Genomic DNA, 27,487 nt, shown 5'->3' on the forward strand with positions numbered 1-27,487 from the left:
TGTCATCATGGCCCGTTCTCAATGAGCTGTTGGGTACACCTCCCAGACGGGGTGGTGGCCGGGCAGAGGGGCTCCTCACTTCCCAGTAGGGGCGGCCGGGCAGAGGCGCCCCTCACCTCCCGGACGGGGCGGCTGGCCGGGCGGGGGGTGACCCCCCCACCTCCCTCCCGGACGGGGCGGCTGGCCGGGCAGAGGGGCTCCTCACTTCCCAGTAGGGGCGGCCGGGCAGAGGCGCCCCTCACCTCCCGGACGGGGCGGCTGGCCGGGCGGGGGGTGACCCCCCCACCTCCCTCCCGGACGGGGCGGCTGACCCCCCCCACCTCCCTCCCGGATGGGGTGGCTGGCCGGGCGGGGGGCTGACCCCCCCCACCTCCCTCCCAGACGGGGCGGCTGGCCGGGCGGGGGGGCTGACCCCCCCACCTCCCTCCCGGACGGGGTGGCTGGCCGGGCAGAGGGGCTCCTCACTTCCCAGTAGGGGCGGCCGGGCAGAGGTGCCCCTCACCTCCCGGACGGGGCGGCTAGCCGGGTGGGGGGCTGACCCCCCCACCTCCCTCCCGGACAGGGCGGCTGGCCTGGCGGGGGCTGACCCCCACCTCCCTCCCGGACGGGGTGGCTGCCGGGCAGAGACGCTCCTCACTTCCCAGACGGGGTGGCTGCCGGGCGGAGGGGCTCCTCACTTCTCAGACGGGGCGGCTGCGGGGCGGAGGGGCTCCTCACTTCTCAGACGGGGCGGCTGCCGGGCGGAGGGGCTCCTCACTTCTCAGACGGGGCGGTTGCCAGACGGAGGGTCTCCTCGCTTCTCAGACGGGGCGGACGGGCAGAGACGCTCCTCACCTCCCAGACGGGGTCACGGCCGGGTAGAGGCGCTCCTCACATCCCAGACGGGGTGGCGGGGCAAAGGCGCTCCCCACATCTCAGACGATGGGCGGCCGGGCAGAGACGCTCCTCACTTCCTAGATGGGATGGCAGCCGAGAAGAGGCGCTCCTCACTTCCTAGATGGGATGGCGGCGGGGCAGAGACGCTCCTCACTTTCCAGACTGGGCAGCCAGGCAGAGGGGCTCCTCACGTCCCAGACGATGGGTGGAGGTTGTAGCCAGCCGAGATCACGCCACTGCGCTCCAGCCTGGGCACCATTGAGCACTGAGTGAACCAGACTCCGTCTGCAATCCCTGCACCTCGGTAGGCCGAGGCTGGCGGATCACTCGCGGTTAGGAGCTGGAGACCAGCCCGGCCAACACAGCGAAACCCCGTCTCCACCAAAAAAATACGAAAACCAGTCAGGCGTGGCGGCGCGCGCCTGCAATCGCAGGCACTCGGCAGGCTGAGGCAGGAGAATCAGGCAGGGAGGTTGCAGTGAGCCGAGATGGCAGCAGTACAGTCCAGCTTCAGCTCGGCATCAGAGGTAGACCGTGGAAAGAGGGGAGAGGGAGAGGGAGGGAAAGGGAGAGGGAGAGGGAGAGGGAGAACTTTCTTATGGCCACAGCTTTGTAAGATAGAGGCAAAAGCCAAAAGTAATGCACATATAATATTCTCTGCCTTGGGCGACATCTGTGTTGTGTTGGCTGTAGTCAGAAAGATATGTGTCTTAAGGCACCAGAAACTTCCACCCATTTTGGGAAAGGGATATTTTTCTCAATAAATAGTTATATGGCTTATTTATAAAGCCCCAATCTTAATGTTCTCATTTAATCTAAGGAGTGTAAAGGAATTAAACTGTGCACATTCCCAAAACACACACGGAAACATATACCATGTCCTTCACAAGGAAACAGGGTATTCTGGTAAGATCTACATTCCCACATGCTTAAGACAGTCATAATTTCAAGTCAGTTGAACCAGTATTTGTTCAGTGCCTCTAATTTGCCCAGTGTTGAGCCACATAGGCACTTGGGAGTTTGAAAGATTCTAGGATGTGGATGATGTCCTCAAGGTGCTTATAATTAGAAGGCAAAACTCCTCCCCTAGCAAACCTCACCTGGCATTCTGCAGCAGAAACTGTATGTGTTCTCTGGGGGAAATCTTGTTGCAAAAAATATTTATCGATTTGCATGAAAAGGTGCCAATAGAGCTAAGAAATATTTTTAGCTGTATTGTGTTTGACCCTTTGTGGACTTGTGACCCTTTGTGGACTTGTAGAAATTTCAGTGTTTATTCTTCAGGGTCATTTAAGACAAATGGTCATGCTGTTTGGAGTGACAAAAATGGCTTGTGGGACCCAAAGTAATAAAGAACAGATTGATTCTATTCTTTTATAGATTGGTAATTCTTAGACTTTGCTGCACAATTGTTCTCCTGGGGAGCTATTAATATTACAAATTCCAGTGCCTGGGTTGAGTCAATCTCTGGAGGTGGGACTCAAGCCCCAGTTCTTTTTAAAACTTCCCAAGTAATTCCTAAGTGCCACCAAGTTTGAGATCTAGTGATACAGATGACTTTATCAACAACCTTTTTTTTGTTGTTGTTTATTTGTTTGTTTTAGCCTAAGCCTTCTAGGGTGAGTTTTGGAATGGGCTTTTTATAATGATGGGGGTGGGTGTTGACTAAAGAACTTTCAGCTTTCTGGAAGCTCACCCTCTGTTCTCTGTACTAGTGAACTCAGTGTAGATGGAGGTATGCTTTCTCCCTTTCCAACAAACCTGGTAATATGATGCCAAGCCAGTCACTCAACCATCTATGTTACCTAAGGTTCCCTGAACCTTGAGTGTTTTTATTACAGCAGCCCAAATGTTCTGAAAATCTTGATTATGTCTCTTAAGGGAAGGTAGTTTTATAATTAATTACATGTGTCCCTTGAAATTATTTTTACATTGTCTGAAACCCCCATGGAAGAGGAAGCCCATTCTTGGTGTACTTGCAGCTAGTAGAAGTAGCTCATTAAAATACAGGGGTTACTCAATTCCTGATAACTCACTATAGATTTTTTTTTTTTCAGACAGGGTCTTGCTCACTCACCCAGGCTGGAGTGCAGTGTTGGTATCATAGCTCACTGTAACCTCAAAACCCAGGGCTCAAGTGATCGTCCCACCTGAGCCTCCCAAGTAGCTGAGATTACAGTTGTGCGCCACCATGCCTGGCCAATCTAAAAAATTTTTTTAGAGACAGAATCTCTCTATGTTGCCCAGGCTGTTCTCGAATTCCTGGCCTCAAGTGATCCTTCTGCTGTGGCCTCCCAAAGTGTTAGGATTACAGGTGTGAGGCCACTACCCCCAGCCACCTCACTATACATTCTTAGGGTTGGAAAGTATTTTCAAAATACTCTAGTACAGCGGTTCTCAAGGTGCAGCATCAGCCTCACCTGGACTTGTTAGAAATGTACATGTTCACGCTCCACCCCCAGATCTTCCGAGTCAGACACAGAGATGAGGGTGTAGGTGGTGGTGAGGGGTGGGCCCAGCATCTGTGTTTTAGGAAGTTCTCCTCTCCGGGTGCCCACCAAAATTTGAATTACTGCTGTTATTTCACCTTGTCAGAAACTGAGGTACCCCAGTCCTCAGATCTGTCTCTGCACCATGGCCAGATCATCCTAACTTTTCTGTGTCATGAATAACTGCCTTAAGAAAACACCCACCATCCTAAAATCATAAGGCATAAAGAAACCTTAAATGTTGTCTCATCTGACCCTCCCATTTCACAGATGAGAAAACTAAGGTCGATAGGGTGACATGAAGTCAATAAGATGTAGAGTTATTGGTGACAGAGCTTTTGGTCTACTTAAAACCGACACAGTCTTCCTCCCCCACTGGCCCACATTGCCTCTCCAGTTTTATGTGGACTTCTAGTATTTGGCTGAAATCACGTCAGTTAAAATGTCTAGGTTAATTGTCAGGCAACTCTAGAAAAAGACCAACAGAATTTTAATTCTTTAAAATTAATCCAAAATTCTTTCATTTCAAATTGGCTTGAATTTTATAACTGTCTTTGTACATTTAATAGAAAAAAATATCGGTGATGTAAACTGCTGAAAAGAAAATTCACAGAACATGGGGACCAGTCCTGGAACATAGGTTTCATCCCAACATCGTGTAGATTAGGCACTTAACAGCGCCTCAGAGGCACACACTGAAATTGCATTTTCTTCCGATTTGGTTAAAAGGAAAAACGTGACAAGAAGTCTGTTTGTTGAATACTTTACAATTTTATACTTGATGTGGTTAGTGATATTTACATAATTTTGTCCGTGTTCAAAGACTGAATCTAATCCACATTCTCTGTAGAGCTTCATCTTTCAAAGCATTGTAGCAATACACAGGGAACATTAAGCCAAGAAAACGAAGGGAGAACACACAGCTATTATCTACATACACATATACATGGAGCAGGCATGTCCATGGATAAATTTTTTTTTGGTTTTTTTTGTGGGTTTTTTTGAGACAGAGTCTGGCTCTGTTGCCCAGGCTGGAGTGCAGTGGTGTGATCTCAGCGATTCTCCTGCCTCAGCCTCCCGAGTAGGTGGGACTACAGGCGCGCACCACTATGCCTGGCTAATTTTTGTATTTTTTTTAGTAGAGACCAGGTTTCGCCATGTTGGTCAGGCTGGTCTAGAACTCCTGACCTTAAGTGATCCGCCTGCCTCACCCTCCGAAAGTGCTGGGATTACAGGCGTTAAGCCACCATGCCTAGCCCATTGAATAGAAGTGTTTATTGGTTCCACACACCTACCATGTGCTAGGTATTGTGATGTGGTGTGGGACACATATAGTTCCTATCTTCGAATGATCATGGGACAGTGGGAAAGTCAGACAAGTGCTTCAGTAGACAATTATGAGAGCAGGTGGTGGAGTTAGAAGAGAGTACAGTTGAGGCTGATGGAGCAGAAGGGCATTCTGAAGATCATGAAAGGGACATCAGTGCACACTGGATGGGAGCAGAAACCAGAGAAGGCTGCCTGGAGGAGGTGTCCTGTGAGCTACATTTCAAAGTATGGTAGATATCTAGGTGAAGGGGAGTAGGGAGGAGGTTGTGTAGGGAGAGGGGCCAGTATATGCCAAGGCATCAATGCTTGTGTGTACATTTTCTATCACTGGGCCAGGATTGATCTATAAATCCCTATGTATTTCTTTGTGTGTATAAACATTAGCAATTTGGTTTCTTAGAGAAACCAAATGCTTTGCATAGCAGTTTTAAAATATACATTTCGAAAAGCTCATTTTTCCATTACAAAAGACTCAGATGTTCCCAAGAAAAGTTTCTCAGTTGAGAGGTCACCAGATCTTATGTTACCGAGAAAATGGAAAGATTTCCCCTAACCCCAGAAGTCAAACCAGCTTCCTCAATTTGAGACTGCACAAAACCAATTAATTTTTGCCCATTGTGGATTTTCTTAATAATTGCATCTCCGACAAACCAACTCCTGTCCTAAATGGATTTGAGCCACATTTCACTCTGAAAGCTGTGGGTCCATCTGGGAAATGTCTTTGTAGATGAGAGAATTTTATAATAAAGTATTTTTGGTATTTCATTTACTAAATCTTCAGGGATATAGGTAAGAGAGCCTCCGTGCTGAACTGACTGCCTAACAGAACAAGGTTAGAGAGAATGAAATTATTTCATGCTGTCTGGCCTGCAACACATGCCTCTGAACGAAGCCATATACAGTCGCGGGTCGCATAATGATGTTCTGGTCAATAACAGATGGCATATACAATGGTGGTCCCATAAGATTATAATACTGCATTTTTACTGTACTTGTCTAGGTTTAAACATATTTAGATATGCACAAATACTCACCATTGTGTTCCAGTTGCCTCCAGCATTCAGTACAGGAACATGCTGTGCAAGTTTGTAGCCTAGGAGCAATAGGGTATATCATATAGCCTAGGTGTGTATGTACACTCTATGATGTTCGCATGACAAAATTGCCTAACAACACATTTCTCAAGACATGTCTCTATTGTTAAGCAGCACATGACTGTATATATAACAATGGTTTCTTTAAAAGCACTCCCAGGAGTGGCCAGGTGCAGAAATAGCTGAATTTGTGAGCAATGATAATGATAGTTAATATAATTATCATATTTTCCAGAGCACCTGCACATCACGTTTGATCTTTACAGTGAGTGGAACAGACATTACGATCTCCATTTGACAGATGAGGAAATTAAACCTTAGAGTTATCAGATTTCAAAGGTGAAGGGACCTTAGAGATCCTTTCATCCAGCTTTCTCATTTTACAAAAAAAAGAACTCCCTGAGATCCAGGGAAACTAACTGACCTAGGATCCCACAGGGAGTGAATAAGGGCTGTTGGGCCAGGCCCAGGTCTTCTGATTTCTAGCTTCCTGATTTTGCACTCCATTGCGCTATTCTCAGTCTTCAGTGTGTTAGAGGAAACTTGGTAGGTTATGCATTTGTTCTTAAGGAGAAATTTTGTTGATATCAGTCCTAGGCACTATTTTATAAATGCACACATGTGGAAAAATCCCTTATTTTCCTGCTTTTTTTCTATATATAGATACAGGCAGATACACAGACAGATAGACACACCACATGTGGATGTCACTGGGGAGATGAAGGTGGGATTGAACTTAGCAGAGTCTCAAAGGGGGCTTCAGCTTTATCTGTCAAATATTCTTTTATTAAAAAATTTTGAAGCAAAATGACCATTACAGTAGCATTTATTCATTTTGGATAATGGGCACTGAATTCATAAGTGTTTGTTTTCCTCTTCATATTTCTGTATTTTAAAATTTTCAAAAAAAACCAAATATGGATATTAAAAATAAATTCTCACCTATAATACCATACCCTCATTTTATAAAAATAAAGAATATTTTCAAAGAAATAAAAATGGTTCAGAAGGATGGAAAGAAAACTATACTATGGGACTCGTTAGTTAAGTTGACATTAATCCTCTGCTTTAAGTCTTTCCTGTGATGACACTAGCAGAATGTGTATCATTTTCTCTGCATTTGCTGCAGGATCAGTTCTCTTTGGCAGGTTTTGAGCCGTTCTAATAAGTCCAGCATGAAAGGCAGGCCTCTCGTGTCAGTTCTAAACCCACCAGCTGCCCCATTGTGACTGCATAGTCCCCTGGTTCTGAGACTGTGCTCTGCCTGATAAGCGACGTACGGAGCACAGTGGACTGAAAGCCCGGGGATCTGATACCAAACATGTTAGTTAAACTCATGTTTAACTAACCCAAACTCATGTTTAACTGGCCCAAAGGAAGTAGGCCCAGAAATGTGGTTTTTGGAGCTCCCTTTAATGAACGTGTAAACAGAGGATAGAATATTGGCCTTACAGTTTAAAAACCCTCCTTCAAGTCCCAGTCAAGTCCCTTATTCACTGGATGACCTCACACGGTTCATCTGATCTTTCTTGGTCTCAGTCTTCTTACTATAGACTGGAAATGGTCATATTTGACTTAGCTGTCCATATGGCTGTTCTGGAGATGAGACAGCTAATGAAGTGAGAACACTCATTAACACACCAACTGAAAAACACAAAACAAAAGAGAGATGATAGGATTATATTGCTGTTATGAATCATTCCAAGAGGTGTCATGGTGATATGAATCATCATATGGTAATGTCATGGCTAAGGCCCAAACACAGAATAGCAGCATTGACCCAGTAGTCTCGAAATTAGTCACAGAGGCCAAGCTAGTGAAGACCCAGCAGCCCTATTGTTATCAAGAAAGAGCACTATCCAAAAGGTGTGTGGCCTCATCTTCTCCTTGCAAAGAGAGAATTCATCTGGTATATGTTGATAGGCGTGTATCCGACCACAGCTACCTCCATCAGCCCTGAGGACAGAGGCAGCCTGCATTCCAGTCCCAGCTCTTCTCTGTCTCGGTGTGTGACTTAGGCGGTTTCACAGAGGACGCCAACTTCATTGGCTTTTGCGGTTTTTTGTTTGTTTGTTTTTTGTTGTTTTCTTTTTGTTTGTTTTGTTTTGTTTTTGTCTGTAGAATGAGTGAGTTAAACTAAATTGTCTGTAAGGCCTCAGCTCACTCTTAAAGTGTGATCACTAGCTAGAGTTTGAACTTTAGCCCCAATATGACTGTTGTGTTGTCATTGTCACCTTTGTAACCTGACATTCAGGAATGTCCCTCTCTAGTTCATATTCTGACCTAGCTTCTGAAAGCATTATAGCAGAGTTGAGAATTTTTGATCTAGGAAAGATAAATATTAAAAAGAAATTCCCACCAAAATACCATAAATAAGGAATGTTTTAAAGAAAAATGGTTCAGAAGGAAGGAAAACTATAATGTAGTTCTTGTTAGTTAAGTTGACATTAATCCTCTCTTTGCTTTAAGTCTCTCCTGTGTTGACACTAGCAGAATGTGTCATAAAGACATGGAAAGATCATAAATTCTCAACTCTGCTCTAAAGATCTGACCTTCAGCGTTGCATTTATTTGGCCACACCTTTATAGTGTGGTCATACCTAGAAAATATTTTCTTGCCTGGTCATCAGCCCTCTCACCTCGATTACTTTCTATATTTTAGCACAAAAGAAGAAATGGCGCATTCACCACTCAGCCAGTTGCACTGGAAGTGAATTTAAATTCCTGAACTGGTTATCTTGGAAGATATTGTGCTTATTGCAGATGTGGCCGGTGCATGAGTTTAGGCACTACCATGCTCTGGGCTGTGGTTCTTGGCTCCTGCTTCTGGATGGCTGGACATTACCAGGAGAGAGCCTGCTGATACATCTACGCACATTCACTCTACTGCACTTCAGCTGTGTCCTTGTTATTCCACAGCCCTTTAAGTCCTGGTTCACCAACCAGATGTTAAGACTCTCTTGGATCCCTCAAATCCCATCCCCATGCCTGCTGCCTCCTCTCTCAGCAGTTGCCCACTCCTTATCTTCTAATCCTCTTTTCTCCCTATGATGATGATAGTGACCCTGTAGCTCCAACTACTGGGTCCTCACAGTCAGTCCACTCCTGCAGAGGAAACTGGAGGGTGACCAGGAACCTTCAAGTCAATGTGGGCCACAGACAGGAACCGTCTTTAAAAGATGGTTAAATGCCCGTGGTTTACGTAGGTTGGCTTTCTTTAAGCAAATAAAGGAAATGCATTGCTTCATGTCCAGCAAAGTACAGGGTGGATTCAGGAGAAGCTGGCTCAAGGCATTCCTAGGAAGTCATCAAGGAGCTGCCTGTACCTCTGTCTTCAGGCCAGCATCTTCTGAGTTGGCTTTATTCTCAAGCAGGCTGTCATTAAGTGATGGCTTAACAACAATTTAGCAACCATGGCATGACAGAGAATCATGCCTGATAGCTCTAACAAAGTATCCGAGAGTGTTCCCCCATGAGCCAATCACTGTTGCCAGAGGGATGTGGTTCTTGGACTGGCCAGGTCTGAGACACGTTGCTTGGGCCCCTATTTGTGCAGAATTGGCCCCTGACTACATTCCCAGAGGGTCTTTGGATGTTTGGTCAGATGGTCTGTACTCTGGGGGGATCAATTCATACCAGCAAGGTCCAGTCAGCCCCTACACCTACCACCGCCTCTCTAGTGGAAGCCACTTTTGCATCTAATTGTCTTGGGAATTGTGTTGGTTTTCTATTGCTGCTGTAACAAATTGCCACAAATTTAATGGCTTATAATAACATACATGTATTATCTTACAGTTCTGGAGGCCATAAGTCCAAAACCAGCCTCACTGGACTACGGTCAAGGTGTTAGTTCCTTCTGGAGGCTCTAAGGGACAATCTGTTTCCTGGTCTTTTCTAGTTTCTAAGAGGCTTCCTGCATTTCTTTGGCTCATGGCCCCTTCCTCCATCTTCAAAGCCAGCAGCAAAGCATCTTCTCTCCTCTCTGACTTCTGTTTCCATCCTTATATCTTCTCGCTGACTCTGATCCTCCTGCTTCCGTCTTAGAAGGACTCTTGTGATTACATTGGGCATACCAAATTAAATTCAGAAATTCAGATAATCAAGATCTTTAATTCAATCATGTCTGCAAAGTCCCCTTTACCATGTAAGATAACATATTCACAGCCTCTGTGGGTTAGAATGTGAACATTTTTATTATTCAGCCTACTGCAGGGATTATCCACTCAATTTAAAAACCTGAACTTAGACAGAGAAAGAGTGTACTGAAGCTCCTGCATTGGAGTGGGAAATTGTAGATAGTGACCTAGGAAGGTGACTTTGTACCTGCTTGTAGGTTTAGTTTTATTTGCTTCTTGGGTGTATTTAGATTGTCCTTTTTGAGCTGTTTGTGGGTTTTTCTCCACAGAATTGGGTACTCATAAAAGAGGTGTCCATATTGCCTCAAAGCCACCAGATTCTGATGAGCCATACCCCTTATCTTCCTTCTTCATTTTGTTCACGGCAATTACTTTGTGCCCATAAAGTGGGAGGCAGTGTGCTGAGGAAATACAAGATTCTCCAAGACACACTCCTTTCTCTTGTGGAACTTATGTCTGGTGGAGTAGAAAGGCACGCACGCAATTATTTTTAACCCAAGGCACAGGATGTGCTGAGTGATATAAAAGTGACAAACTAAGGAGTGGGAAGACAGCAGGAGACATCAGTTCCAGCTTCCAGGGGTGTCAGATCATGCACCCCAATTTTTGGTTCAGAAATATGATCACTACTATATGCACCTCAATTTCAGGTTATTAACTATTGCAGGCTAAGAATTTTAGGGCTTTAAAAATAGTATGATGTGTTTTTTCTTCTTTGTCTAGGGTGTTTGGATGAAAGCAGGTGCTCAGCTCTGATGATTCATGTGAAATCACTTCTACTCAAGGTTGACTAAAGTTGGGAATGATGAAAATTTCCTAGTCAAAGCAAAAATTAAGAAGAAAACCTGGTTAGTTTTCTTATTTTTTGAGGAATCTGAATGGGTTAACGTCTGTAACCTGGGCCATACTCTGAAAAGGACAGGTTTCCCATGGCTGACCTGCAAATACCCAGCATGGCTGGCTTTCCTAGTTGGAAAGCCCTTCCTCACGTGTCCTTTCAGTGGCAAAGGGGAATCTCTACTAAGAGCTCCCTCCTGCCCAGAATGCAATTTTAGAAAATAGAGCTGACTTCTCTGGGAAAAACAAAACCAACCTTGTCTTACTCTGGTCATGGAAACCAACTTGGCACCTCATTATCGCCTTGTTAGCAAGAACAGGCTGTATGATGGACAAACCTGGGAGGAAGAGTTGGCCCTGTGTGGCCACGGTTTTGAGTTAAGCTTAATTGCTTTTCTAAAGCTCAGCTACTTAATACTACACAAGTCAAAATCTATCATCAGACTCTTGACCATCCATTCTCCTCTTCCTTCCGTATTCTTGCCTACATAGACATTGGTCGCTCCCCATTCTGCTGCTGTTGAATTTGTGCTGGGTCACCCAGGGACCCCCAAGGCTTGTTTGCAACCAGCCCGGCTCCCCAAAGGAGAACAGGGCTGTAACTACCTTTAACTTTCAGTGCCCTCTTCCCCCATATTTTAAAATGCAGCCAGCCTGTTCTGCCCTTGGAGCATAGCAGGGCTGCTGGCTGGGGAAGGTGGTGTCTTTTTAACAACTTATAGGCAATTTTTGATTTTTCATGCAAATGGGAAAGAATAACAAAGGCATTTTATCTGGCTCTCAAATGTGCTTTGTACTTACATTTAAATGTGGGTGTGCCTGATGTTCTGGGAACTCCCTTCCAACAAGACAGTGTGGCAACCCATGTCACTTGCTATGTCTCCCTTTTCCTCCTCAGCTGAGCTAGCTCCCAGCCTCTCTCGTTTTTGTTCCATTATCATTGGATTTTTACTGTACAGAACCTGTGACAGTGGAGACTAAGGTGTCCCAGTTGTGCAGTGTCTACCCTGTACTGCCTAAGCATGCTTATTGTACAGCATGCATTGTTTATGGCAACTCCAATTTCCAGTTTTCCAGTCCCCTTCTTCCCATTCAAATGTCCCAGAATTCCAGTTCATCAACATCCTGAACATATTTCCTGATGACACCCACTTTTCAGAGGGGAATTTAAAACCTGGAAAATGTGGTCTTAACCAAAGATTCCCTCCCTGCCTGTGGTAACCACATATCCCAGATGTTCTGGGAAAGTCTTTCCAGTTTCCAGACCATGCACACTGATTTTTGGTCCAGAAACCACTATAACCAACCAATATAGGTCACATGAAAGACACATGTCAGACGGACACCCTTTCTGCAGTAAGATTCGGTGAGAGTCTGCTATTGTCCCCTACCTCAAATTCAGATTTTTTTACTTGTAATTTTTTGGTTATTCCTTATACTAGTTAGGTTTGAGAGCTCAGTTGAAGGGAACTGTGATATTGTGAGATTTGGTCTTCCTCAGGTTTCCTAGCATAAAACTCCAAAAGTCTTTGGAATCGGATAAATATCTTTTTGTATGCTAATAAGCTGACAAATGTCTGGCAGCCCCTTAGGTATCTTTAGGATGGGGTCTGGTTACTGGAAAGACCACAGCAGGATGGAAGGGTTGGGACTTTCAGCCTCACCCCTAACCTCAGGGAAGGAGAATGGGGCTGAAAGTAGAGTTGATCACCAATGGCCAATGATTTAATCAAACATGCCTGTGCAATGAAACCTCCGTAAAAACCCAGAAAGGACTGGGACATGTGGAGGTTCCTGGAGAGGGGGGTGCCCGAGAGGATGTGGGAGCTCTGTACCCCTTCCCAAACACTTTGCCCCATGCACCTCTTCCATCTGGTGTTCATTGGCATCCTTTGTCATATATCCTTTCTAATAAACCAGTAAAACTAAGCATCTCCCTCAGTTCTGGGAGCCTCTCTAGCAAATTAGTCTAATTCTGATTTACAGCCAGTTGGTCAGAAGCATGAGTAAAACAACCTGGGGCTTGTGATTGACATCCAAAGTGGGGGGACAGTCTTGTGGGGCTGAGCCATCAACCTGTGGGATCTGACGCTTTCCCCAGGTAGTGTCAGAACTGAATTGGCAGACACCCAGCTGGTGTCCACTGCAGAACTGGTTGCTTGCTTGGTGTGTGGAGAAAACCTCCCACACATCTAGTGTCAGAAGTGGTTCGTGTTGTGAGAGTATAGGAGACGCTGAATTTGTTTGTGCCTATATTCAGACAGGAAGACAATTCATGTTACTTTTGGATGTGAAATGAGGACAAGGATGAAAATGTGTTTGGCACAAATGTAAACACGATTCACTCTGTAGGCAATTGTTAAGCCTGCCTTTTTCACTTAACATTAGAGCATATAGATTTTCTCATGTCATTAAAGTGGTTTTGTTTTTGTTTTTTTGTAACAGAGACTTTGGCAAATTCAAGATAATGTTTACCATTGGCAATCACGGGGAAGGGTGAGGTGGGGGGAGCACGTAACCAAGGGAGATTTATCGTATTGGAATGCTCTCTGTCTTAAGCTTGGTGCTGTGTACTCTTTTTTGAATGTCCTAAATGTTACATAATAAAGTAGAAATTTGAACACCAATAGTAATGGTTACTTAATATTTTATTATGTTGGTGTATCATAATTTCCTCAGTTCAAATCCCATCTCGCTATTGTTGGATATTTGTAATTTTCAACTTTGGACTCTTAAATAGTATAGTATTAAGCATCTTTGGGTATCAAATTTTGTCTGCATTTGAGCTCATTTTCTCAGTTTTGATTTATATAATTGAATTCCAGGGTCAAAGAATATGGCTATAATAAATGCATTTTGTTAGACTATCTTTTAACAAAGCTGTATGCGTTGATTATCATTGACATTGTGCCTATTCTACTCTCTCTCCAACACGGAGTGCCATTTTAAAAAATTGCTATTTTGCTAGGCAAATATTTGTTTTGAATGGTTTTAGTTTATGTTTCTACTTACTAGTGAGATTGAACGTTCTGTCATATAATTTTTCCATTGGAGTTTTTTTTTTTTTTTTTAATGTGTATGTGTGAGCACAGGTTTTTGCAGATTCACTTGTATGTGGGACCAGTGTGGGAAGGTCTTGTTTATGTGGGAGGGGGGACCACAGATAACAAAGAACAGCCCCTTGCCCCCCTCATTGAAAACCAGCTGTGCATCTAGACCTCTGTCTTCCCACAGTGCCGCCAAGCTCCTGGACAAGAACCCATTCTCGGTCAGTAACCCGAACCCTCTGCTTCCTTCACCTGCCAGTCTCCAGCTGGCTCAACTGCAGGCCCAGCTCACCCTCCACCGGCTGAAGCTGGCACAGACAGCTGTCACCAACAACACTGCAGCCGCCACAGTCCTGAACCAAGTCCTCTCCAAAGTGGCCATGTCCCAGCCTCTCTTCAATCAACTGAGGCATCCGTCTGTGATCACTGGCCCCCACGGCCATGCTGGGGTTCCCCAACATGCTGCAGCCATACCCAGTACCCGGTTTCCCTCTAATGCAATTGCCTTTTCACCCCCCAGCCAGACACGAGGCCCCGGACCCTCCATGAACCTTCCCAACCAGCCACCCAGTGCCATGGTGATGCATCCTTTCACTGGGGTAATGCCTCAGACCCCTGGCCAGCCAGCAGTCATCTTGGGCATTGGCAAGACTGGGCCTGCTCCAGCTACAGCAGGATTCTATGAGTATGGCAAAGCCAGCTCTGGCCAGACATATGGCCCTGAAACAGATGGTCAGCCTGGCTTCCTGCCATCCTCGGCCTCAACCTCGGGCAGTGTGACCTATGAAGGGCACTACAGCCACACAGGGCAGGATGGTCAAGCTGCCTTTTCCAAAGATTTTTACGGACCCAACTCCCAAGGTTCACATGTGGCCAGCGGATTTCCAGCTGAGCAGGCTGGGGGCCTGAAAAGTGAGGTCGGGCCACTGCTGCAGGGCACAAACAGCCAATGGGAGAGCCCCCATGGATTCTCGGGCCAAAGCAAGCCTGATCTCACAGCAGGTCCCATGTGGCCTCCACCCCACAACCAGCCCTATGAGCTGTACGACCCCGAGGAACCAACCTCAGACAGGACACCTCCTTCCTTCGGGGGTCGGCTTAACAACAGCAAACAGGGTTTTATCGGTGCTGGGCGGAGGGCCAAGGAGGACCAGGCGTTGCTATCTGTGCGGCCCCTGCAGGCTCATGAGCTGAACGACTTTCACGGTGTGGCCCCCCTCCACTTGCCGCATATCTGTAGCATCTGTGACAAGAAGGTGTTTGATTTGAAGGTGAGTTGTCCAAGACAGGCTGGGAGCCACAGCTAGAAGCCTGGGCAGGCCTTTCCCCATGACCCAACTCACGCTGCCAATGGGCAAGGAACTGTTGCATTGGGGTAACAGAATTTTGCCATCAGTATTCTTGACTAAAATCACAGGTATTAGGACCCATAGGAATTTCAGAAATGTATCAGGACCAGTCCCTTGCTTGAAGGTGAGTCAGAAATTCTTACACACTTTTTCTAGATGAGAAAGCTGAGGCTGAGTAGGGGAGCAAAGGACCCCACCTGGGTTGCAGAGAGAAGGGGCTCAGGAGTTTCCTGCCTTCTCGTGGAGGGCTTCTCCCCCGTAGTATGCCTAGAATCTACTGCCCCTTGAGTACCCATATTGTAGTGAGTTAGAAAAGAAAAAAAGCAGAATTTTGGATCAGGGGAAACAGATTAATTCCCCCTTGGGACCTAGACAAATTATTATAGAGAGCCTCAGCTTCCCCATCAGCAAAATGGAGGTAGAGTCTCATGACACCTTCCCGGTGGTTGGGAAATGCTTTGAGTTCCTGCAAACAGAGGTATATGATAGTATAATGTCCCCCCAAAAAATGTATTGCAGATGCAGTGAAATATTTTGAAGCAATAACAATTATAACAAATACCATATATTAAACCCTTTCTGTGTGCCAGCAGTAACTCTTATGAGGTAGATATTATTATGATTTTCATTTTACAGATGAGAAAACTGAGGCCCAGAGAGATGAGATGACTTACTCAGCCCCTTCTCCCCGCCACCTCCCCAGCTTGAAAGTGGCAGAGTGGAGATTCAAATGTGGCCCTGACCCTTTCAGAGCCTGCACCATTTAAACACTGGGCTGTCCTGCCTCCCATCTCTCATCCTGTCCAAAAGCATAATAATGTCCTTGCAGAGTGTGAGTCACACTGCAGCATGTCATTCACCTCTGTTTGGGTCACACCATCCAAGTGCATCCCTGTGACCCAGATAGGACATGCCCTCTGACCTCTAGTCTTGGGAGGGGACTAGCTGACACGGGGAGGTGCTCAAGGATTTTGTCTCTCATGAACCTTTTCTAAGGCTTTGTAAGTCACTGTGAGTCTACCTGCCAGATTCTCCCAACTGGATATGAAATAGGTGGGGTCTTCCTGGGGGAAAGGAGAAGGGGTGGGAGGTGGGAGGTAGGTGGTGGGGGCAAGGGTCCATTGAGAGGGGTAGAGGGAATCCAATTTGTGAGTCTGGGCTCCTGTTCAAGATGGGCATGAGATGTATGGATGAGGAGCTGATGGAGCAAAGGCTGGATGGGGAGGCAGGAACAGTGGGAGGAGCCTGGGAGGGAGAGAGGAAGGGTGGAGGGATGTGTCTGCAGGGGTGGTCCAGCCTCTGGGCGCTCTGTGCTCCCTGCCTGACCAGTGTCTCTGTGCTCATCCTTTGCCTTCCCATGGACTCAGTTCTACTTTGGTCACTTTTCTTTCCTTCTGACCTAGGACTGGGAGCTGCATGTGAAAGGGAAGCTGCACGCTCAGAAATGCCTGGTCTTCTCTGAAAAGTAAGTGCTGTTCAGGAGGACAGGCTCATGCGTAGGCTCAACACATATTCACTGAGCATTTACTGTGTGTCACACGCTGTTTTGAGTCCTGGGGCAATAGCAGAGACCAGAACAGGCAAAGTTCCTGCCCTCAAGGAGCTTGTGCTTCACAGGGGCCAGGGAGATGATAAACAAAATGAACAAGAAAATTACAGCATCCCTGGTGGTAAATGCTAGGCAGAAAACACCAGGCAGAGGCCGGAAGTGCGTGTGTGCGTGGGCGTGTGCCTCCCTTTTCTGGCTTTCATTTTTTTCATTGTAGTCAAGTTCACATAGGGCTTACTATTTTAAATACTTTGAAAATACTTTGAAGTATACAATTCAGTGGCATTTAGCACATTCACGACATTGTGCAAATGTTACCACTCTCTAGTTCCGGAATATTTTCATTACTCCAAAAGGAAACCTCATACTCATTAAGTAATCACTCCCTATTCCCCCTAAGCCAGCCCCTGGCAACCACCAATCTGCCTTCTGTCTCTACGGATTTGCCTGTTCTGTACTTTTCTGTAAATGGAATCATATGATATGTGGCCTTTGGTGACTGGCTTTTTCTTTTTTACTTAGCATAACATTTTCAAGGTACATCCATCCATGTTGTAATATGTACAACCTTTCTATGACTGAACAATATTCTATTGCATGTATATATCACATTCTTGTTTATCCATTCATCTTTTGATGGACATTTGGATTGTTTCCACCTTTTGACTATTGTGAATAGGGCTGCTAGGAAGGTTTGGGGACAGTTTTTGTTTGAACACCTGTTTTCAACTATTTGGGGGTCTGCACCTACGAGTGGAATTTCTGGGTCACATGCTAATTCTTTGTTTAACTTATTAAGGAGCCGGTTTCCCTTTCTCGCCCTCTCCAGTGCTGGCATCCGGTGTATACTTGGTTCGGCAGAGGGAACATTGTGTGCTTCTCCCAACAGCACAGCTGTTTATAACCCTGCTGGGAATGAAGGTGAGCAAGGCCCTACAGGTCAGCAGCTTGAAGCAGAAGTGGGCTACCCACAGGCACATTATGTCCTGTCTTTAATAACCAGGACTTCCCTGATGTCCCCTTCTCACGGATGTAGAAAGCAAACAGATCCCAAGACACTAAAATGCATTGGGCCTGCTGTCTGGGCCCATCAGTATTCTCTGAGATACTTGAGACGTAAAGCTTTGCTGATTATCAGCATGTCCAGAGGTACAATCATGCCAATCACTAATAATATGTGAAGGGGAAAGGTTCAGTTTTCTATGCCTGCTTATGTCCTAATAATGACTTTTGATGTTACATTCTGGGTTTTCACTGACTTTGTGTAATTCATCATTTAGATTATGCCTCAAATCTTGGAACATCATACGTGCCCATTCCAGCAAGGTCATTCACTCAGTCAAGCCCCACATTTCCTTTGGCTTCTGTGGGGACAACTGTGAGTACGGAAACATTTTCTCTAGAAATTAATGAAAATGATTATTAGTTTATTTATTTGTTTGTTTATTTGAGACAGCCAGGCTGGAATGCAATGGTGCAATCATATCTCACTGCAGCCTTGAACTAACTCCTGGTCCCAAGTGATCTTCCTGCCTCGGTCAACCAAAGTGCTGGAATTACAGGTGGCCAAAGTGCTAGGATTACAGGTGTGAGCCACCATGCCCTGCCTCAAATACCTCTCTGTGTGCCAGTCACCCTGAAATGCTTGTTGCTTTCCCCAGCACTGTGTTCTTCATGCTCAGTATGCACCTGACATGCCACAGGCTGGGAGGATGTTAACACTTTTTTTAGTGGAGAGTTGGCTGGCTTTTGAGGTCTAGACCCATTTATACCTGGTACCCTTCAATTTTCCACTCTGGGAATTACACTTCTCTAGTTTCCAAGATGACATGACCAGAAGTGAGGTGAGCATGTGACTCAGGCAGCCAAGGAGATCATCACACTTTCTGGCCATAGATTGGTTCATGAATGGTGTATGCCTGTAGTCGCAGCTACTTGGGAGGCTGAGGCAAGAGAATCACTTGAACCCGGGAGGCAAAGGTTGCAGTGAGCCGAGATCGCACCACTGCACTCCAGCGCAGGTGACAGACCGGGACTCTGTCTCAAAACAAACAAACAAAAAAACCATTTTCTCCATTGTCATTGTTGTTGTCAAGCGTTTGTAGTATCACCTGCTATATCTGGGCCTAGAGGTGCTGACCTGGCTTTGTGTCATTCAGAAAAACAACCCCAGACAGAAGTGAAGAGCTGTTTAATCCAGTTCATCTAGTATTGAAACACATGACTTAAGAAGCAGACATAAATCCTTAAAATTCAAGGCATTCCTGGACTTTCTAGCATTCAGCGCTGGCTTAGAAAAAAAAAAGTTGGAGCTTTTTATGTTTTTTTAAGACTATTTAATGTTTTATGGAAGTAGATTATTTCCTATGAGAGGGTAATTTTGAAGCTTGAACCAGAAAGTGTGTGAAAGTAAGGACTACGCACCAGTAGCATTTGTTGGCCCCTTGAGGAACTGGTTTGTGCTGTATGATGTTTTTGTTTGTTTTTAGTTTTGCTGTCTCTGCAACATACATTTTCGTCCTCCAAAGCTCCTAAGCTTCATCTCTCCTTTTTCACCAACGGTGACAGCTCCTCTTCTCTCTGGGGTTTCAGTTGTTTTGTGCCACCACCCTACACCCCCATCTGACCTCTTCTTCTCCTCTGGGCAGGAGAAAGGGGAGTGGGAGGAAAACTGACTGTAAAACAAATGCATTTGTCTGAACCCTGCTGGAGGGCACCTGTTTGTGTGCCTTAGCCTGTGCCTGTGCTTTTGTGGTGTGAGTTGCTGCAGCCTCTTTCTCTCTTCTCCTGCGAGTGAACACAAGCTCACAAGAGCATGTCTCCACGTGCTGTCCCCTCTACGTGTTGGCATTGCAAAGCATCAGGCCAGTAAGCTGTGAAGTGCAGCTCTCAGGCTCTGAGGAGTGAGTAAGCGGAAAAGCGAGGTGGTTCATGATGAGACGTGAGGCCTGCCTGAGCCCAGGCTTCTGTTTATTTGTGTGTGTTGATCTGTGATGTTGAATAGGAGAAGCGCTTCGAGAGAGCCCCTGTCTGGAAGCCCACATTTTGGTGAAAGAGAATTTTGTGGTTTCCCTCTCTGCACTCTGCTCGCTCAGAGCCATGCCCAGGTCAATGGCAGCTTCGGGTCAGTCCCAGGAGACTGCAATGGCTAGATTCAGTGAGGCCTGTCCTCTGAGGTCAGATTCCTGGTAACATGACCTTGTGTCCTGATGGGGGTGTGGGCCATGGAGGCACCTCTGTGCTCACAACCCTGCCCTGAGACCCCACTCCAGGCACTGAAGGGGAGGAACTGTGACCACGATGGGGGAGGCTGGATTGAGTGTCAGGTGGGCAGGGGGCAGGGCTTGTAAATTGACTCCAACCTGGGGTCTGGGTACGGGGAAGAGATGGCATTAACTGAGCCCCTCCATAAAGGGGGGTGGATGGGGAGAGGAGAGACACAGGCAGGACATTCTGCAGTCTGTCCCAGGCCTCTTCCCCACCCTCCAGCGCTGCCCATTGAGCCAGAGACCCTTTCCTATGGACTTGGCTCTAGGGACCTAAGTTCAAGTCCTACTTTGGGAGCCACTTGCTGTGTGTCTCCAGGCAAGTCACTTTACTTCTCTGAGGCTCTGTTTCCTTAAGTGGGAACAATAATGCCTTTGGAAGATAAAGTAAACAACTGGATTTCCATCCAGCTTGTGTAATTTATTGTTTTGATTATTCCTCGAATCTCAGAACATCCCATGCAGCTCTGCAGCCCAGGCTTCTGGTTCAGTGGCCAGCGCCAGACAGTGGGAGCAAGGCTTGGGATAGATCCAGTATTGTCCTGCCCTTGTGAGGATCAGATGAGATAATATCAGGGACAATGATTTGGGAACCGTCAAGTACATATGAAGTAACCATGGCTGTTCTTGAGTAACGAGCGCTTTTAACCCATTTTGGCTGTGAAGAGTCGGGGGGAAACCCATGCTGTCTAAGGCTGGCTCTGTCTGCTGGCCATAGGATTTTGTCCGAGTCTTGGTATCAGTGTTCCCCTTACACAAATCTGTCTAGTAATACCCAGGGTCACACTTGCTCCACCTTAGAGATGTTTTGAGGTTCCCATGGATGTACTTTTAAATTACGTACCAGTGGGCAAGCACAAGCTATCTGATGATTTGTGTGTTGATTCTAATTAATTCCTCGAAGCTCTGAGTGCCACTTCCTCCGAACACCTAGAGATGGGGAGTTTATCTGGCTTGAGCCTGGTGAGAAGCAACGCAGGAAACATTTTGCTAGGAGCTAGGAGGGGACAGAGACCTAGGGGACAGCTCTCTGCGAGGAGCTAGGAGGGGACAGAGAGCTAACATTTTGGGAGCTAGGAGGGGACAGAGAGCCCCAGTCATTGTAGGATGATAATAAAAACAACAGCCAACATTTATATAGTACTCAATATGTTCTTAGCATTTTTGTTTTGTATTAGCTCATTTAGTCCTCTAGACAACCCCATGAGGTGGATACTATTATTATCCTTATTGTACAGTTGGGAAACTGAGGCCTAGAGAAGCTTAGTACCTTATATGAGGCCACATAGCTGGTAAATGGAGGTGGTGGGATTTGAACCTAGGCAGCCTAGCTCTGGAAGCCTCATTTGTAACCACTAAGCCCTGCAGCCTCTCTGCGAGGATCTGAGGGGTCTCTTCCTTGCTGTGATCCTCCTCTTTAGTAAGCCCCTCTCACCTCCCCCTCTCCCTACCCCACAAGCCGCTTGGGAGGTTCTGAGGCTGCGTTGCAGGTGACAGGGACTTCTCTGGCCTTGGCCACCCATGGAGCAAGATGAAGAGGCCAGCCACACCTGGTATCCACATTCTTCTGCACCCTGACAGCATCTGCCAAGATGAACTCAGATGTTTGGAGGCCTTTTCTACAGACCCAGTGGAAGGGGAGAGTCAGCATTTGTCTGGTTTTATCATTATAACCTCTGTGACATCTTGCTGGTCACATGAGCCTCCTCAAGCCTATCTGAGGGACAAGGACAAAGCCTGCCCCAGCCAACCCCTACATTGTCAGTGGCTTGATGTTCATTCACATCCTTCTGTCAGACGCTGGTCCCCCGGTTTGCCATTGCCAGCATATGGAATTGAATGCAGGTGTATCTGTCTTGAGGAAAACCTGAAATGCGAGAACATTGACATTTGAAGACAAGCTGAGAAATGGAGAAATGATTAATCCACTCTTGAAAAATACTTTGCAAGTCTCCTTTAAGTAGCAGAAGAGTCCCTCAGAGAAACTATTGACTTTCTTTCTGCCTACAAACACTGACCTCCAAAGATATCACCCCAAAGATAAGGGGTGATTACTCTGTTGCCAAAGGATATTTTTCCAGTTTCCAATGAATGCCCAGTGAGTTGTTTTTGCATATACATTTCTAATGTTTTTCTGCTTACAAAACTTATGCTTATTGTGAAAATGCAAACAGAAAAGAAATACTGAGGGGAATGAAATTCCCCGGTTGTCTCCCTTTCAGCCCTCACAGAGATCCCATTTTCCTCCACAAGTGAGGTCTGGTCCTGCGCCAGCACTTTGTATGTCTGATTCCATTTACATGCATCTTTTCAGAAACACTTTTTTTTGAGTAAAACCAGGAACAGCCAGGATCCTGCCACTGTCTGATCATATCACTAATGTCTGTGGAGCGAAGAGCAGTTACTGCCTCTAAAGCTCCCTGTTTTTAAGCAAGAGAAGACCAAAGTGACACGGAGCTCTGGAAATGAGCCTTCAGATTATATCCGAACTGCCACAAAATCTAAAAGGACCGCAAAGACCATCTGCCACTGCCACCAAGCCCTTCTGGGGACAGACTTGGCTGCATTTAAACTTCTCCCACCTGTGTTGGAGTCTGAGTGTTTCGTTGCCTTGTTTGTTTATTTATTTTTGTTTAGGTTTTTTTTTTCTCATTTTCTTTTCTTTTCCTTTTTATTGTTATTTATTTATTTATTTATCGAGACAGGGTCTCGCTGTGTCACCCAGGCTGGAGTGCAGTGGCATGATCATGGCTTACTGTAATCTCCACCTCCTGGGCTCAAGCGATCCTCCTACCTTAGCCTCCAAGTAACTGGGACTACAGGCATGTGCCACCAGACTCAGCTAATTTTTGGAGAGACAGGGTGTCGCCATGTTGCCCAGGCTCGCGTGTTTATATTTGACAGAGACGGGACACTGCACTGACAGTTGTATGCTGTGTTTGCTGTTGGTAGGGTGATTTGTGTCTGTCCTCAGCCCCTCCCATCCCACTCTAGGGTCCCCAGAGATAGGTGTTCACTTTCACTTAAGCTCCTGCCATTTGAGGCCAGGCACTTTCTCCTTGGCTGACTGAGTCGTCATAAACAGAGTAATCAGGTTTCTGGAAGGGGCCTTGGGGCTTTCTCAGCCTGTTAGTAGTTTTTGTGTACCTGCCCGAGGTGCACTTTCTCTGTGTCTGTCCCTGTAAAGCCACCTTGCAGTTTTCACAACCATCTTGGAGTTTATTTAGTGCCAGTGTCACAGATGGGCCACCCTGACCTGGGATGATACACATCGTTTTTATTATTTATTTCTCGCCAAGACCCTGCACATTGGGGAACTTGTATAAATAAGGAAATGGAGGCTCAGGAAAATAGAAATGTCTGTGGAAGGCCAGAGGTGTAAGTCACAGGCTGCAACTCTGATTACTGGCTGTTTCTGGAACACCATCTGTCTGCCCTGGCCCTCTGAATGCATGGCTTAGAGCGCTCTGGTCTCCTGACTTCTTTGAGCATGAGGACTAGTAATTGATGTGGCATATACTACCAGCCGCCTCCCCACCATTCCAGCTCTGTCATTGCTCCTGTCCCTCCAGCAAGGGCCACCTTGTGCTTTTTCAAAGAGAGCAAAGAGGAGGAGACAGGAGACCTGGGTAGGTTTTGTTTTGGAATTTGTTCTTTTTACAAATCTTACTTTTTCTTGTTGGAAAAGCAGTGTGAACATTGTGTAAACAATCTTAGCAGTAACAGAAATATAAAAGAAAAGTCAACTTTGCAGAGAAAACAGAAGTTAAATGCTTTTGTTATAAGTATATATCTCTCTAGCTAGTGTATGTGTACATGTTTCATTAGTAAAAGTAATTTTTTGGGCACAAACCAGATAACGTCATACAATCTGTTACACAATTTGTTTTTTTCACTTAACATAAGCTTTCAATATATATTTAAATCGATTTCTAGACATCTTTCCACATCAGAACGTAAATAGTTCCTATCTTATTGTGTAACTTCATTTTTGTATTTACCTTAATTTATCAAGTCTGCGATTGATAGGTTTTTTTTCAGTGACACCTGAGTTTTAATCACAAATCTGCCACTGTTTAATTGGCCACAGATTAAGATCCTTAACTTCTCTGAGGCTTCAGTGTCCTCATATACAGCGTGGACCAGATGACCTCCCAATTTTAACGTTTTGTGACTCTACAGTTTCCAGGGATGTTGAAGCTGCTAAACAGGTGAATCGTCCAAGATCCGTAGGCAATCCTATGGATTTACCAGTAAAAGTAAATTCACTCTGAGTCAGAGCTAATATGCTCTATAAAATATTTGAAAGCATCAATAAAGGCAACTGTGTCTACCCTCCAAGTTAAGCCAAGATCCATAGCTACGGAATTTGCAACCATTTGCTATCTGCATGATAGGTTCAAAATCAACATCTTGCTCTCTGCATAACAGGTTATAAATCAACATCATGAGAGATAAATATTTGCCATATCTGCTCTTAGGCATGTTTAGAACAAAACCAGCAGAGGCCCACAGACTCTGTGCCAGATAACATTAGATCACATCTGAGACAGATCAGGCTGGAGCACAGAAATCGTTTACTGAAGATGGAATCTACACTTTGCAGCTCTAGGAGGCAGTTTGAGAGACCTCTCTCACCCTGCAGGCCTGTTGCCCTAAGCCATATTTTTACGGCAACTCTAAGTTATTTGAACTTGAGCCTCTTATTTGAACTCGGGCCTCTTATTTGAACTCATCTGTGAAGGCTATTTCTACCTGCACCAAGGGGCAATGAAAGGTCTTAGAATCTTCATATACAAGTCTGTTTGCTTCTTTTGCATTTCTCCCCAGCTACAAAAGAGTTGAGGGTCAGTTGAGAGGTCTGGGACCCAGCCATATGAACGATCAGGAGCACCATCTGGTTTTAAAGGTGCAGCCCCCGCATGTGAAAATGCACAGCCCAGGCCCCCGATCCCATGTGGGGGCACTCAAGGTCAGTGCTGGCTTGCAGGCAGGCTAAAGCCTCCCTGAGGCTGAAAAAGGATGATTGTCCCTTTAGCTTGGTAATTCAGGCTTTAGTCACACCCCTGCAACTTAGCTCTCTTAGAGATGTGACCTCTGCTGGAAAGTTTTCAGTGCACCTGTCTTACGTGTGGCTCCTTGGCACTCAGCAGACAGAGCCCATCAACACCTTGACCTGCCCTTCTCCCCTACAGTATGTCTTTTAAAATTTATTTTTGGTAACTTTTAATATATTTCAAACTTACAGAAAAGTTACCAAAAAGGTATAAGGAACTCCCATATAACTTTTGTCCAGATTAATTTCACTACTCCTTTATATTTTGCCCCATTTGCTTTGTCATTTTCTCTATCTTCCTCTATCTGTCTATCTATCTATCTATCTATCTATCTATCTATCTATCTATCTATCTATGTATCCATCATTTGATCAGCTGTGCATTTTCCCCTAAATCATTATTTTTAGAGTAGGTTGGTGACATTGTACCTCTTCACTTCTTTTTCAGCATGAATTTCCTAAGAATACAGACTTTCTCTTACATAATCACAACAATATTTTTTCCCAATGCAGAATCATTGTAACACATCCTTTAACTGTTGGGTGGAGGAAGGAGATAAACATTATTTACAGGAGCCTGCATAATGCCAGGCATTGCCCCAAAGCACCGTACATTCACGGTGGCATTTCATCTTCTCAGCAGTCCTGTGGAATCAATTTTTATTACCCCTGTTTTACAGACAAGCCAACTTGGGCTTGGAGAAATTCAGTAACTGGCCCACAGTTAGTCACAGAGGGAGCAGACACAGACTCAGGTCTGTCTGATTCTCCCACTGCCCTGACCCTGGTGCCTGGTGACTATAAAACACACACTTGACATGAGTCTGTTCTCAGAGAGGCCCCAGGCCCAGGTGTCTGTAGTTCATTTGTGTATCCTCTCAACTCTTTCTAGCCACCGTGGCAGCAGAATTATTCATGGAGCTGCAGGATTCATAAACAAGGTGCTCACTGCTTGGAGCTTATCTTTAGTCCTATAAAGATGAGACTACCACCAACACAGACAAACATGTCTGAAAGATGAACATGCTTGGGAATGGATGCATGGTTAAACAGCCAATTACACAGAGAGAGAGGACAAACATTACATTCATTGGAACAGGGAGTGGGAAAGACATGGGTTTCCTGTTTATACTGAGCACAGTTGGAGAAAGCTATCATTATCCTGGTTCTTGGGGTTTAGCTTGTCAAGGCATCTGGGAGGAGTGGAATTTTAGAACTTAGAGCCACATAAGCATATATATTTTTTACATCCGGAAAGGACTTTAGACCTATAGGTCATCTCCCTCGTTCCAGACGTGGGGAAACTAAGGCTCAGAAAAGGAAACTAGTTTGTCTCTGTCATGCACCTAATCAGCGGCTGAGCTGGGGATTGAACCCAGGCCCTCTGTCTTCTAGGAGGATGCTCTTTCCACTGGAAAGTCCCAAGCTTTTTATAGCTCAAGTCGCCTTTCATTATTTACTTCCACCCCAAGCAGCCACTGTCCCGCATCTTCATATTTGGAAAGATTTTATCTGCCAAAGTACTTGTATTAATGAGTAACTAACTGGTGACCCATTTTTATTAATCAAAGACAGAGACACACCAATTAGACTTTCTGATTAGCCTAAGAGCTAACCAGTGTTAAAAGACAAATTGTAAATGAATTAAATTTAACAGAGTTTAATTTAATTGGGCAGCCCTCAGAACCGGAAGAGGTTCAGAGAGCTCCGCTGCACCACGTGGGCAGGCAGCATTTATGGGCAGAAAACTGAAGCCAGATACAGAAACAGCTTGATAGGTTACATCTCCGTATTTGCCTAATTTGAACATGGTCTGATCGTTGGCTGCCTGTGATTAACTGAAGCTTGGCTGCTGTGATTGGCTGAGACTCAGCTATTTGTTAGAAAAGTACACTACTTCAGGCTTTCACCTAGGTGATGTGCTAAGTTAAAATGCAGTTCCTTACATAAGAACTCAAAGTATGGAGGCATCCTCAGGCCAAATTGAATTTAACACCACATTACCATATTGATAAAGAAATTCAAAGTACGATCTCAACTCGCATTTTTCAATGTAAAGAATAATGTTTAGCCCCCTGCTTCCTGTGGTATTATTACCTTTGAAGACCTTTAAGGGCTTATAAGAGAGCCCGGGTTGGGAATTACTGCGTAGCATGGTGACGCTTGCTCAAGAGCACTCAGGATTGCCGGTGCCCCTGATGTACAAACTGTACTTTTGATGTACCACTCAGGGACCTCACTCCGCCTGTTTCCCTTCTCACTTTCCTCCTTCGCTCCCTCCCTTTTTCCCTCATGATTCAGATCTCCCACAGGGCATAGGGCAAATAATAGCCATGTTTATGTAAAGTGTAATGAGAATAGAATAGAGTGAAAACAGCTACTATTCTACATCTTGTATGAATCATATATGGTTTTGAACCTAAATGGAGTTCAACAACAACCCAAAGATATTTCAGATCA

The 27,487-nt window shown here is 45.4% G+C and overlaps 1 protein-coding gene across 4 annotated transcripts in view, besides 2 other annotated features; it reads left to right on the forward strand.

The window, feature by feature from the left end:
• RBM20 (RNA binding motif protein 20) overlaps positions 1 to 27,487 on the forward strand; it is a 196,224-nt gene that overhangs the window by 123,562 nt on the left and 45,175 nt on the right. For 3 of the 4 annotated variants that reach the window (XM_017016103.3, NM_001134363.3, XM_017016104.3), the window contains exons 2-5: positions 13,995 to 15,078; positions 16,560 to 16,621; positions 17,535 to 17,626; positions 17,986 to 18,083. In XM_017016103.3, the coding sequence (XP_016871592.1) occupies positions 13,995 to 15,078; positions 16,560 to 16,621; positions 17,535 to 17,626; positions 17,986 to 18,083 (1,336 nt within the window). Of the gene's footprint in view, positions 1 to 1,475; positions 10,772 to 13,994; positions 15,079 to 16,559; positions 16,622 to 17,534; positions 17,627 to 17,985; positions 18,084 to 27,487 lie in introns of those variants that run through there. The other variant, XM_047425116.1, reaches the window with a different exon arrangement.
• Positions 7,677 to 8,876: an enhancer, noted in NCBI's record as "P300/CBP strongly-dependent group 1 enhancer chr10:112534241-112535440 (GRCh37/hg19 assembly coordinates)". NCBI's record gives its function as "activates an origin of replication core promoter dependent on BRD2, BRD4, P300/CBP, MED14 and CDK7 cofactors, with strong dependence on P300/CBP, by STARR-seq in HCT116 cells {active_cell/tissue: HCT116}" and the evidence as "EXISTENCE:reporter gene assay evidence [ECO:0000049][PMID:35650434]".
• Positions 7,767 to 7,956: an enhancer, noted in NCBI's record as "active region_4042". NCBI's record gives its function as "activates an Ori minimal core promoter by ATAC-STARR-seq in GM12878 lymphoblastoid cells {active_cell/tissue: GM12878}" and the evidence as "EXISTENCE:reporter gene assay evidence [ECO:0000049][PMID:35858748]".

Source organism: Homo sapiens, chromosome 10 (assembly GCF_000001405.40).
Source record: "Homo sapiens chromosome 10, GRCh38.p14 Primary Assembly".
In the NCBI taxonomy this organism is placed as follows: domain Eukaryota; kingdom Metazoa; phylum Chordata; class Mammalia; order Primates; family Hominidae; genus Homo; species Homo sapiens.